The sequence below is a fragment of the Homo sapiens genome, chromosome 2 (genome assembly GCF_000001405.40).
Source record: "Homo sapiens chromosome 2, GRCh38.p14 Primary Assembly".
NCBI classification, from domain to species: Eukaryota; Metazoa; Chordata; class Mammalia; order Primates; family Hominidae; genus Homo; species Homo sapiens.
In genome coordinates this window covers 113,475,184-113,489,425 of record NC_000002.12, presented here as the reverse complement: position 1 = coordinate 113,489,425, position 14,242 = coordinate 113,475,184, and the positions used below count along the sequence as shown (strand labels likewise).

General features: G+C 38.4%; 1 protein-coding gene across 13 annotated transcripts in view; it reads right to left on the bottom strand.

Annotated features, from left to right (window-relative positions):
- The window catches only part of ZNG1B (Zn regulated GTPase metalloprotein activator 1B), a 58,514-nt gene that overhangs the window by 6,779 nt on the left and 37,493 nt on the right, over positions 1-14,242 (bottom strand). For 11 of the 13 annotated variants that reach the window (NR_138474.1, NR_138473.1, NM_001330340.1 and 8 more), the window contains one exon: positions 7,198-7,249. Coding sequence is in view for 9 of the 13 variants with exons in the window: in NM_001330340.1 (NP_001317269.1) it covers positions 7,198-7,249 (52 nt within the window). In the remaining 4 variants the exon portion in view is untranslated. Of the gene's footprint in view, positions 1-7,197; positions 7,250-14,242 lie in introns of those variants that run through there. The other 2 variants (XR_244814.2, XR_427073.2) reach the window with 1 other exon arrangement.

Sequence of the window (14,242 nt, the reverse complement as noted above, 5' to 3'; positions counted from 1 at the left end):
TTTATAGGTCCTGTGATATTTATGCTTTAAAGAGGTTCTGTTTTGCTATGTTTCCAGGATTTGTTTCAAGATTTAGAGTTCCTTTTAGCATTCTTGCACTGTTGGCTTGGTAGTGGTGAATTCTCTGTTTGTCTGAAAAAGCTGTATCTTGCCTTCATATATGAAGCTTAGTTTTGCTGAATACAAAATTCTCGGCTGATAATTGTTTTGTTTGAGGAGGCTGAAGATAGGGTTCCAATCCCTTCTGGCTTGCAGGGTTTCTGCTGAGAAATGTGCTGTTAATCTGGTAAGTTTTCCTTTATAGGTTACCTGGTGCTTTTGTTTCACAGCTCTTTCTTTCATCTTAACTTTAGATAACCTGACGACAATGTGCCTAGATGATGATCTTTTTGCGATGAATTTCCCAGATGTTCTTTGTGCTTCTTGTATTTGCATCTAGGTCTCTAGCAAAGCTGGGGAAGTTTTCCTCAATTATTCCCCCAAATATGTTTAACAAACGTTTAGATTTCTCTTCTTCCTCAGGAATGCCGGTTATTCTTAGGTTTGGTCATTTAACATAATTCCAGATTTCTTGAAGGCTTTCTTCATATTTTCTTATTCTTTTTTCTTTGTCTTTATTGGATTCGGTTAATTAGAAGACCTTGTCTTCAGGCTCTGAATTTCCTTCTTCTACTTGTTCAATTCTATTGCTAAGACTTTCCAGAGCATTTTATATTTCTATAAGTATGTCCATTATTTCCTAAAGTTTTGATTGTTTTTTATTTATGCTATCTAGTTCATTGAATATTTCTCCCTTTACTTCTTGTATCTTTTTTTTTTTTTATATCTTTACATTGGGCTTCACCTTTCTCTGGTGCCTTAGCTTAATAACCAACCTAGTGAATTCTTTTTCAAGTAAGTCAGGGATTTCTTCTTAGTTTGGATCCATTGCTGGTGAGCTAGTGTGATTTTTTGGGGGGTGTTAAAGAACCTTCTTTTGTCATACTACCAGGGTCGGTTTTCTGGTTCCTTCTCATTTGGGTAGGCTCTGTCAGAGAGAATGTCTAGGGCTGAAGGTTGTTGTTCAGATTCTTTCGTCCTACGGGGTGTTCCCTTGATGTAGTACTCTCTCCCTTTTCCTATGGATGTGGCTTCCTGAGAGCTGAGCTGTAGTGATTGCTATCTCTCTTCTGGATCCAGCCACCCAGCAAGTCTACCAGGCTCCAGGCTGGTACTGGGGGGTAGTCTGCACAGAGTCGGGAGATGTGAACCATCTGTGGGTCTCTCAGCTGTGGATACCAGCACCTGTTCCAGTGGAGGCGGTAGGAGGGTGAAATGTACTCTTTGAGGGTTCTTAGCTTTGCTGGTTTAATGTACTATTTTTGTGCTGGTTGGCCTGCTGCAGGGAGGTGGCACTTTCCAGAGAGTGTCAGTTGTGGTAGTATGGAAAGGAACAGGTGATGTGTTGGGCTCTAGAACGCCCAAAAACATGAGATATTTAATCTCCACTGTTACTAGTAATACAAAAAGCAGAAAAGTGCTTTCTTGCTTGATAAGAGAAGTACAAGCAGACTAAAAAAAGGTTCAAATTGAACTTGCAAATGTGAGACTTTTAAAAGTACTTATTTTGTCACAGCAGTCAAGACACTAACAACCACCTAAATGTCCAGGACAGTTGAATGGATAAAATAAATGTGGTAATATACATACAACCAAATATTATGTATCCTTAAAAAAAATCCCGTCATATACTACAACATGGATGAATCTTGAGGACATTACACTAAGTGAAATAAGCCAGTCACAGAAGGACAAATATTGCATGAATCCACTAATATCAGGTGTCTAAAACAGTAAAACTCATCAAATCAGAAAGTAAAATGGTGGTTACCAGGGGTTAGAGGGAGACGAAAATTGGGAGGGGCTGTTCAATGGGTATAATTTTAGTCATGCAAGATGAAAAGTTCTAGAGGTCTGCTATATAACAATGTACATACAGTTAACAATACTATATTGTACCCTTAAAAATTTGTGGAAGAAGGTAGGTCTCATGTTAAGTGTTTTTTACCACAATAAAAAATATACAGTCATGGATACATAAAGAGAAATGAGCTGTTGGGCAATTTTGTTGTTATACAAACATGATAGTGTACTTACACAAACCTAGATGGTATAACCTACTACACACCTAAGCTATGCTGTATAGCCTGTTGCTCCTAGGCTACAAACCTGTACAGCATATATGTTACTGTACTGACCAGTGTATGGAAATGATAACACAATGGTAAGTATTTGTGTGACAGTAATTTTTCAGCTCCATCGTAATCTTATGCAGTCTGACTAAAACGCTGTTATGCGGTGCATGACTATACTTATTTTTAAATCTTAATAAACATATTCTATTTTAAAACTATTTTTATAGCATAAGGTAATAATAATATGCACTTTTTAAATGACAATTATTTTATTTCTTCATTAAAGGAATCACTACAATACCTAAAAGTCCACATAAAAATATACAGCAAAAGGTTGTCAAATGAAACATAACTGTCAGTTAAAAAAAAATAAATTTAGTCTTCAAAAATGTTTAAAATGTATTTTAATGCAAGTTGGAAAACTATATTGAGAATGTCGCAAAATACGACTCCAAATTGCTTTATTGTTAAAGATTTTAACTTAATAAATTTTTTTGAGATGGGGTCTCACTCTGTTGCCCAGGCTGGAGTAGAGTGGCACAATCATGGCTTACTGCAGCTTTGAACTCCCAAGCTAAAGCAATCCTCCCACTTCAGCCTCTCGAGTAGCTGGGATTACAGGTACATGCCACCATGCCTGGCTAATTTTTTGTATTTTTTGCAGAAATGGGGTTTCACCATGTTGCCCAGGCTGGTCTACAACTCCTGGGTTTTAAGCAATCCACCCACCTTGGCCTGTCAAAGCGTGAGGATTACAAGCATAAGCCACCACACCCAGCCTAAAGATTTTTATAATGATTTTTGCTTTTATCAGGTTAAATATGTGACTTAATATTTTTAAGGGGTACAATAAACTCCAGTATGAGACAAAAAAGGCTTTAAAAATTAAGATAACGCATCATGGGGCTCAATAAGGATGATCTATATTTTGGAACCAGATGTTTTCCTACACCAATAAACTCTTTTCACGTTAGAAAAACCCTGAAAAAAATCTGTAATTCCCAGTGCAGAAGATAAGGGTCACAACTCATAGTTGGTTCTAATAATAAACTAAACATTATTTGTCACTTGGGTTTTCTCATCTACCTTCCCACTCTCCAAACCCAGGTGTTCCTTATGGGGAATAAACAAAGAATCCATGAAAAATAGATAACTGCATTAAAAATTCAGGGATAGAGCCTTAATAACACATATATACTAGGTCCTAGGTATTACCCATTTCAGACTTTTTTTTTCCAGTTTTTGTTTTGAATCTAAAATTAACTCCTTCTTCCATGTATGCTGACACAGAAAGAAACAGAAAAGTGAGGCAATAATTGAGAAAACTAAAGCAAAATGAGGAATTGTCTCTAAAATAAAATTTAGGAACAACTTACTCAGGTTTGTTTATTTAGTCTGTTTCTTCTTTAACCCACTGGGTTATTTCTCCATTTTCTACTTTTTTGCAAACAATACCTAACATACAATAACTTTTATAGGTTTTCTTCATCCAGAACACTAAGCCCCCTAATGTGCTTAAACTCAAAATCTGTACCTTCACACTCTATCCCTCTGTTCTTCTTTGCCTGTATAATATCTATACTATAATATCTGGCCACCAGGGACAACTGAATATATGGCATTATCATTCAAATCACTTTGCCTTCCCGATTTTTCTATTTCTAGGTTTCTCTAGTCAATCTAGGCTCGTTTCCCATCACCCCTTCTTTTCTTTCTGATCCATACTCAGTCAGACAGGATATTCAGGCAAGTCTACTGGTGAAACAGCTCTGGATTTATCCCATTTCTAGTCTCACTGTAACCAACATGTTTCAGGCCCTTATCACACAGTATCTTCCCGCATGGTCTCCTGACTCTAAAGTCCAATCTAGCTTACATAACACTCCTAGACAGCACTGCTTGAGTTCTCTTTGTTTAGCAAATTAAAACCTAATACCTTAGACCAGGATTCCAGTACCAACTCTCCACTAAGACTTCTGTACCAGAGACCTACTCATCTATAAGATTCTCACCTTCTCATTTTTAAACATCCGTATTGCTCTTTTCCTTACTTCTTCCGGTCAAAAAAAATCCTACCGTCAAAAAAATCCTACCAGTTCAAGGTTATTTTTTGTTAAGTAAGTCAGAATAGCACTTACCCCTTCTTTGACTAGGAAGGGGCAAAAAGGAACTCTTTACAATTTTGGATATCTTTTGTATCTTGACCTGAGTGGGAGTTAGAAGGATATGTGTTTGAATGTGCATATAGACAGATATATAGGTACAAATATATGTAAAAATACATTGAGGCCGGGCACAGTGGCTCATGCCTGTAATCCCAGCACTTTGGGAGGCCGAAGCAGGTGAAGTCAGGAGTTTGAGACCAGCTTGGCCAACATGGTGAAACCCCATCTCTACTAAAAAAAAAAAAAAAATACAAAAATTAGCTAGGCATGGTGGTACATGCCTGTAATCCCAGCTACTCAGGAGGCTGAGGCATGAGAATCACTTGAATCTAGAAGGAGGAAGTTGCAGTGAGCCAAGGTCACACCACTGCACTCCAGCCTGGGTGAGACTCCAGCCGGAGCGAGACTCCGTCTCAAAAAAAACCAAAAAAACAAAAACAAAAACAAAACCCAAACATCGAATTGTACACTAAAATTACACATTTGCATGCTTTACTGTATGCAAATAAATAAACCAAAACCAAAACAAACAAACAAAAAACTATCCTCATGAAGCATTTGATGGGGTTCAGGACATGCTATCCCAAAATATGGCAACTCAATATTTGAGAAAATGGCAGAATCAGGAAGGTCACTCTCACCTTCTCTCCTGAAGCAGGTCATAAAACCTAGGAAAGATTTTCTGACCTTCCGCTGATGCAGGTCATAAGACCCTCATTTAAGAGGTGCCCTCTCTATACACAGAGGAAAAGAACATCCTTAAGTCTGAATATGAAGGGTCACAGAGAAAAATCTGAGCAAACAGGCCTTGCTAAGTTCTTCCCAGTTTATTATTAGATCATACTGTTTTATCTAATTATGCTTCTCCATTACTATCCTCTTCCATATCATAACTAACAGAAAACATACACAGGTATGTTTTATGAAGGCTCCTGTGTCAAGTAAAACTTACTAAATAAATTTCTATGTTGAAATTTCTCTTGATAGTTGGTCTTCTGTTAGAGAGACCTCAGCCATGAATCTAGTGATAGGCGAGGAAAAGATAAATTTCCTCCCTTACACCCCAGATCCACTAAACCAAATGAAATTGTTCATGCCTCTGAATCCCATAGCCCTTTGGCTGTGATACTATTTTCCCCTATGTTTATATTATCTAAAGCAGGACAGTGCATCAGAATCTCCTACAGAGGCTACAAAAATATAGATATGCCCTATTTAGTAGTAAAGTGACATAGTGTCTGGAATTTGCTTTAATACACTACACCAAGGGCAATAGGTACATACAGGCTCATTATGCCATTCTACTCTTACGCACGTTTGAAATTTCCTATTAAAATACATTTGTTTTTTTTAAATACTCCAGGCAAAAGAAATGTTGGGAGGATAGGTGAAATAAAATCAGCTAAATGTTGATGCCATTTAAACTGGGTGATGCATACAAGGGGTTCACTTTACTATTCTGTTTATTCTTTTATATCTTTGAAATCTTCCATAATAAAATGTTAAAAATATACATTAATATACACATACCCAAGTCCCAATCCTGGAGACTGAGGGTGAGAACTACTGAGTTATCGAATTTTTTTTAAAAAGGCTCCACATGCGATTCTGATTTATGCCCCATTTGAGAAACGCAGCTTTTCATTCTTGTAACAAATACTCACTGAGTACCCACCAAGCCCTGTACTAAGCAATACAGATTTTATACGTAAGGAATGTATAGACTCTTGCCAGGCAAAAGCATTTCAAGCAAACTGCAAGGCATCGTAACCGCCACAATAGAGGTTCATTCGAGGCTCTATGGATGGAGACACTGGCCGCCCCAAACGCTCATGGAAAGTGAGCGCTGCGTTTGCTTCATCTTTTCATCCCTATGATTCTTGGCATCACGTTCTTTACCCAGAAGCTCAAATGTGCTTCATGTTCAGCTATATGACAGATACCGACTATCATGAAGAACTGGGTTTTTTGTTTTTTTACCATAAATTCTATCTCCAAGGACTTGTATTTCTCTCATTTATTCATTTTAAAGATAAGTGAAGAGGAATATCCTATTAACAAAAGTTTCACAGGGAAAGGTGCCACAAACATAGTGGCAAACCTGCTCATAAATGTGAACCAAAATGAATACAAATGCAAGTAGCTGTTATCTCGGCCCTATTACAACCAATAGCAATTCAAAAACTGAGTGATCACTTGAGAGAGAGGAAGGAAGATTAGGCACACTGCTCACTTACACATCCCCCACTCCACCCCTCAGGGTTTTAAGAGGAACAAAGAAGTTATCCTAAAGCTCTACGATCTATGATCTGCTTAACAGAAACGCAGGTACAGTAAAATTATATTTAAATTGTTCCTAGCATCTTAGATATTTACCTTAGGGATTAGAATTTTAGAGCATGAAAAACATCTTAAGGAGTTCAAATTTATAGTGCTACCTGAAGGTGAAACTCCAAGTCAATTTTTATTTAAATAAGCCATGCTTATATCAGACCTTTCCTTAAACAATTCAACATACTTAAAAACAGACTGCCTATAGAACCCCCAGGCTGCTTTTAAGGAGTAATCCCTATCAGAACTAACCAATATGCTAAGCAATCTACAGAATGGAAAGGCTAGAAAGCATGATTTCCTCAGATTCTAAAACAAATCTGGTTTGATGAATTCCTATTATGTGTTAAGAAATAGAATTAGACTATGTCAAAAGCATTTAAGATTCCAAAAATTATCAATACAGTTCAAAAATACCATTTTAGAAAAAGTTTATAATAAAATAGTCCTAAACATAGCCTATCTAGTTAAAGAGGTCCTTTAAAAACATTGATTAGGAATTTTGGATTTAGATTTTTTTTCTTTACCTGATCAAGGTGAGGTTGTGTTCCTGGCACATGCTGAAGTTTTTTCTGCAAACTAAAAACAACTGATTAGAAATTCAGAGATGAATACACTTCTGATTTAACTTTATACGTTATTTAGTGACACAAGGATAATGAAGTGACTTTCCATAACTGACTATTCTAATATTCTGTAATTCCAATTTTACAAGTTGTTCGCAAATTCCAATAGAGAAAAGCTGGCAGATTAAGTTTTTTTAAAATTTCTTAAAAAAAACCCACACATTCATATATATACATATGCACAGAATAAAGAGAAAAACTAGTCTTTTAGCAACACTATTTTGTATGGTTAAATATGTCAGTAAATTTCTTTACCATTCCAACAGGTTTAATACAAACTTAAATATATATAACCATTCTAGTATTGCTCAGAGTTCCTTAACTTTCTCCTGCTTCCTAATATGAAAATAATGCTGGCACCTAAAGAAAGTTGAAAGGATAAATTTTCCTTTATCAATGTTTTCCCTTGAACTTATTAAAAAAGAAATAGTATCCATAAATATAAATTTTCTATATAGTCAGTTACCAATTGAGAGAAAAAGAAAGTCAGAATGTTAAAAATGCATTGTTCTGATATGAAAAGCACAAGAAGATCAACATGGCATAACAAATTACAACCATAATAACTGTAGCATACATTTCAACACTGATGGGGACAGGACGGGAGGGGGAAAGGACTGAAAACCTTGCAGATGCTTTGCCTTGAAGAAGAGTGAGGGGTAAATTAGTAACAGCAAGTTTAGGAAAGAGAAAGAACTTGTAGGAACTATTGGAGGGAATGAGTCTCTTTGGGGGGTCCTAGTAGGGAGAATGTCAAATTAAATCCTTCCCAGCTGGTTGCTCAGGAAAAGATTCTCCTGTTTAGCAGTTAAGCACACACAAAAAAGTCATGCAACGGCCTTCCCTATAGTGGTGAGATCACATTAAATAGCTACTTCAAGTGTCACTAAAGCATTATAACTGCTCTTAAGTGTATGTAGAATGAGATTACTTTAGAAAAACATTTCGAAAAATCATATGCTTTTCCCATATGTTCAGTATTTAATGTTGTTGGACAATGACTGCCTAGAACTTCATACGCAGCAAAAAAAAAAAAAAAAAAAATCTAACAACGAACATTTAAGTTTAGTTCCCATAAGTCTCAGAATTTCATGGCCTCGATTTTTTCCCTATCATACACATTTTTAAAAGACTAATCTAGTGGATAAGGATATGCTATCAAAACCTGAAACTCATGAATCGGAAATCATCTTGCACATTAACTTGTAATCTTATAACAATTTTTGTCTCTGCACACATAAAATGTAAATTCTGCACGCATAAAATGTAAAAAATCTCAAACAGTTTAGTGTTTTGTATATTTAAATCATTATGTTCTATAACAAACAATAATTTAGGTATTGTCAGTAAGATGGAATTAGCAACATTTCTATTTCTCCCAAGTAAAAATATAGAATGATATAAAGAACTGGATGCCTTGATGAAAGTACCTGTATTACAGCAAATTATAGCAAAAGACAGAAGTAGAAAGGAAAAACAAAAATTGATATACTGAATATAGAGGTGGGAAATGATTGCATACTATAATTCTTATTAGTGAAATAAAGCACTAAAGGATACAACATGTAAAGGGAAAAAATAAAATTTCAACTAAAAAATATTCTAGTGTTTAACATATTAAATGACAACCAACTTGTAAGCTCTTGGACCCAACAGAGATAAATTAGTTTAAGAAAGGCAAATTTTGCTGGGTTCAGTGGCTCAGGCTTATAATCCCAGCACTTTGAGAGGCCAAGTAGGAGAATCACTTGAGGCCAGGAGTTCAAGACGAGCCTGAGCAACGTAGCGAGAGCCTGTCACTACAAAAAAGTAACAATAAAAAAATTAGCCAGGCATGGGTGCAAGCCTGTAGTCCCAGCTACTCAGGAGGCTGAGATGGGAGGATCACTTGAGTCCAGGAGTTCACGACTGCAGAGAGCCATGATAGCCACTGCATTCCAGCCCAGGTGTCAGAGTGAGACTCTGTCTCAATAAAATAAAATAATTAAATAAATATAAAAAAAAGAAAAGGCCAAGTGTGGTGGCTCACGCCTATAATCCCATTACTTTGGGAGGCTGAGGTGGGCAGATCACTTAAGCCCAGGAGTTTAAGATCAGCTTCGGCAACATGGCAAAACCTCATCTTCTACCAAAATAAAAAATTAGCCAGGCATGGTAGTGTGTGCCTATAGTCCCAGCTACTCATGAGTCTGAGGTGGGAAGACGGCTTAAGCCCAGGACACAGAGGCTATAGGGAGCTGACATCGCACCACTGCACTCTAGCCTGGGCAATAGACCCAGACCCTGTCTCCAAGGGGAAAAAAAAAAAAAAAGAAAGGCAAATTTCATGCAGCATTGTTTCATTTGTTCCCCTTGTAAACACATTTAAATGTATCACAGGATCTGTAACTATCAAAACTGCCCACAGCATCAAATTAAAAATACAGTTCTAATCCAGACACGGTGGATGAAAGGGATCATGGCTAACTAGTGAAACAGCACTGATAGTCAAATGAAGGGCTGGAACCTTGAAGTAAAAAGAAGAAAAGGATCATCGAGAGAAAAGTTAGGATGGGCTAGACTTCTGGTTATTTCAGAAATGGGTAGCAAAAGACAAAGGGTCTTAACCTCCCAGAATTAGGTGACAACCTCAGCCAATCTATCTCCCTAGTAAAGCCAGAACTAAGATGGGAAAAAAAGACCATTTTTAAATGAACAAACCAAATTTATGCTTAGGGCTGTATTCGCTTAATGGAGGAACAGTCATTTCAAAATTAGTAAAACAAAAGCTTTATATGAAAAAACATAGTATAATTCTGAATGATTTTCATACAATCATTATCAAGCATAAGTGATACTGGATACCTGAAGCTGACATGAGGGAAAAAGCCTCAGGGAGATTTCACAACTTTGTACAGCAGTGGCTTGAAAGGATATAACTATATTTACCATAAAACAAGAAGTAGTCATTTTTACCTTACACAATTTATAAGAATTTTTAGAAAAATAGAAATAACTCACATGTAATTCAGGTATACCAAACTTTCCTGTCTTCCTACTAAATGGAACTAGAAAAGCAAAATGCTGATTTTTTCCAGGTACTCCGAAAATACCCTTATAATTTTAACCGTAATTTGTTTAGTCTAAAAAGGTACTGTTCCAATACCAGAAGCTACAGGTGAAAAACGTATCTCTCAACTGAAGACAACTTCTTGAATAACTGTATCACTGACAAGTTTACTCTCTGAGCTTCAGTTTCCAAACTGAGAAGGAGGAATAACTGCCCTGCCTGTCCCACACTTCTGGCTGCTGAAATAATCTCAATCAATTTCTTTTTTCTTTCTTTCTTTATTTTTTTTTTACAAACTACATGCAAATTTAATTTTTCCAATTCATAAAGTAAAAGGGGTCCAATAAAACACTATCATGTCCTACCTCACAGGTTACTGTAGGTATTGTTTTCAAAATGTGAACAATACTACAGACTGAAGGTGGAAAAAAAAAAACTAGTTGAAAGTAGAATTAGTTTTTAAGGGCATGGCTAAGGCAAAATTAGAAATATATATATAAGGCTGGGTGTGGTGGCCTACACATGTAATCCCAGCACTTTGGGAGGCTGAGGCATGAGGATCACTTGAGCCCAGGAGTTTGAGACCAGCCTAGGCAACATAGCAAGACCCCATGCTTACAGAAAATTAAAAAAAAAAATTAGTCAGGCATGGTGACACATGCCTGTGGTCCCAGCTTCTTGGGAGGCTGAGATGGGAGGATCACTTGAGCCCAGGAGGTTGAGGCTGCAGTAAGCCATGTTTGTGCCACTGCACTCCAGCCTGAGTGACAGAGAGCCCCATCTCAAAAAAATAAATAAATAAAAAGAAAAGAAATATATATAGGAATGGGAATTAGAACTCTCAAATGTAGAGCCACCCACTATGCCTACCCTTAAGCAAAATTGTCCCACCAATTCAAAATACCCAGAGACATGTCCATTTTCATGATCTTCTATGGACATATACGAGACTTATGAGATATTCATTGCAGCATTATTTGCAATAGCCAAGCTGTGAGAACAAGTTAAATGTCCACTAACAGAAAAAGGGATAAAGTAAATGTGGTATATGTAGAAAATGGAATATTATTCAGACTTAAAAAGGAAAACTTGCCATATGCAAAAACATGGATGAACCTTGGTGACTTTATGCTACGTGAAATAAACCAGTCACAGAAAGACAAATAATGCATGATTCCACTTGCGTCAGGTAATTAAAATAGTCAACCCCACAGAAAGAGTGTAGAATGGTGGATGCCAGGGGCTATGAAGACAGGGAAATGGGAAGCTGCTATTCAAGGGGTATAAAGCTTCAGTTATAAAGAGTGAAACGTTCCAGAGATCTGCTGCACATCCTCATGCCTATAGTTAGCAATACTGTATTGTACACTTAAAAAATTGTTAAGAGGGTAGATCTCATGTTAGATGTTCTTACTACAATAAAAAAAGAAAAAGATACTGATGCACAAGAATAACTAATCTTTCTTCCCTCCCTTACCAAAAAGATTCCCCACAGGAGAAGGCAGAAAACTAATCCATTATTAAAGTGAAGAGAGGAGAGAGGAGCCAAGATGGCCAAATAGGAACAGCTCCGGTCTACAGCTCCCAGCGTGAGAGACGCAGAAGACAGGCGATTTCTCCATTTCCATCTGAGGTACCGGGTTCATCTCACTAGGGAGTGCCAGACAGTGGGCGCAGGTCAGTGGGTGCGTGCACCATCCGCGAGCCGAAGCAGGGCGAGGCATTGCCTCACTTGGGAAGCGCAGGGGGTCAGGGAGTTCCCTTTCCTAGTCAAAGAAAGGGGTGACAGACGGCACCTGGAAGATCGGGTCACTCCCACCCGAATACTGCGCTTTTCCGACGGGCTTAAAAAAAGGCGCACCACGAGATTATATCCCGCACCTGGCTCGGAGGGTCCCACGCCCACGGAGTCTCGCTGATTGCTAGCACAGCAGTCTGAGATCAAACTACAAGGCGGCAGCGAGGCTGGGGGAGGGGCGCCCGCCATTGCCCAGGCTTGCTTAGGTAAACAAAGCAGCCAGGAAGCTCCAACTGGGTGGAGCCCACCACAGCTCAAGGAAGCCTGCCTGCCTCTGTAGGCTCCACCTCTGGGGGCAGGGCACAGACACACAAAAAGACAGCAGTAACCTCTGCAGACTTAAGTGTCCCTGTCTGACAGCTTTGAAAAGAGCAGTGGTTCCCCCAGCACGCAGCTGGAGATCTGAGAACTGGCAGACTGCCTCCTCAAGTGGGACCCTGACCCCTGACCCCCGAGCAGCCTAACTGGGAGGCACTCCCTAGCAGAGGCAGACTGACACCTCACACGGCCGGGTACTCCAACAGACCTGCAGCTGAAGGTCCTGTCTGTTAGAAGGAAAACTAACAAACAGAAAGGACATCCACACCAAAAACCGATCTGTACATCACCATCATCAAAGACCAAAAGTAGATAAAAACCACAAAGATGGGGAAAAAACAGAGCAGAAAAACTGGAAACTCTAAAAAGCAGAGCGCCTCTCCTCCTCCAAAGGAACGCAGCGCCTCTCCTCCTCCGAAGGAACGCAGCTCCTCACCAGCAACGGAACAAAGCTGGAGGGAGAATGACTTTGACGAGCTGAGAGAAGAAGGCTTCAGACGATCAAACTACTCCGAGCTATGGGAGGACATTCAAACCAAAGGCAAAGAAGTTGAAAACTTTGAAAAAAATTTAGAAGAATGTATAACTAGAATAACCAATACAGAGAAGTGCTTAAAGGAGCTGATGGAGCTGAAAACCAAGGCTCAAGAACTACGTGAAGAATGCAGAAGCCTCAGGAGCCGATGCGATCAACTGGAAGAAAGGGTATCAGCGATGAAATATGAAATGAATGAAATGAAGCAAGAAGGGAAGTTTAGAGAAAAAAGAATAAAAAGAAACAAACAAAGCCTCCAAGAAATATGGGACTATGTGAAAAGACCAAATCTATGTCTGATTGGTGTACCTGAAAGTGACGGGGAGAATGGAACCAAGTTGGAAAACACTCTGCAGGATATTATCCAGGAGAACTTCCCCAATCTAGCAAGGCAGGCCAACGTTCAGATTCAGGAAATACAGAGAATGCCACAAAGATTCTCCTCGAGAAGAGCAATTCCAAGACACATAATTGTCAGATTCACCAAAGTTGAAATGAAGGAAAAAATGTTAAGGGCAGCCAGAGAGAAAGGTCGGGTTACCCTCAAAGGGAAGCCCATCAGACTAACAGCGGATCTCTTGGCAGAAACTCTACAAGCCAGAAGAGAGTGGGGGCCAATATTCAACATTCTTAAAGAAAAGAATTTTCGACCCAGAATTTCATATCCAGCCAAACTAAGCTTCATAAGTGAAGGAGAAATAAAATACTTTACAGACAAGCAAATGCTGAGAGATTTTGTCACCACCAGGCCTGCCCTAAAAGAGCTCCTGAAGGAAGCACTAAACGTGGAAAGGAACAACCGGTACCAGCCACTGCAGAATCATGCCAAAATGTAAAGACCATCCAAGCTAGGAAGAAACTGCATCAACTAACGAGCAAAATAACCAGCTAACATCATAATGACAGGATCAAATTCACACGTAACGATATTAACTTTAAATGTAAATGGACTAAATGCTCCAATTAAAAGACACAGACTGGCAAATTGGATAAAGAGTCAAGACCCATCAGTGTGCTGTATTCAGGAAACCCATCTCACGTGCAGAGACACACATAGGCTCAAAATAAAGGGATGGAGGAAAATCTACTAAGCAAATGGAAAACAAAACAAGGCAGGGGTTGCAATCCTAGTCTCTGATAAAACAGACTTTCAACCAACAAAGATCAAAAGAGACAAAGAAGGCCATTACATAATGGTAAAGGGATCAATTCAACAAGAAGAGCTAACTATCCTAAATATATATGC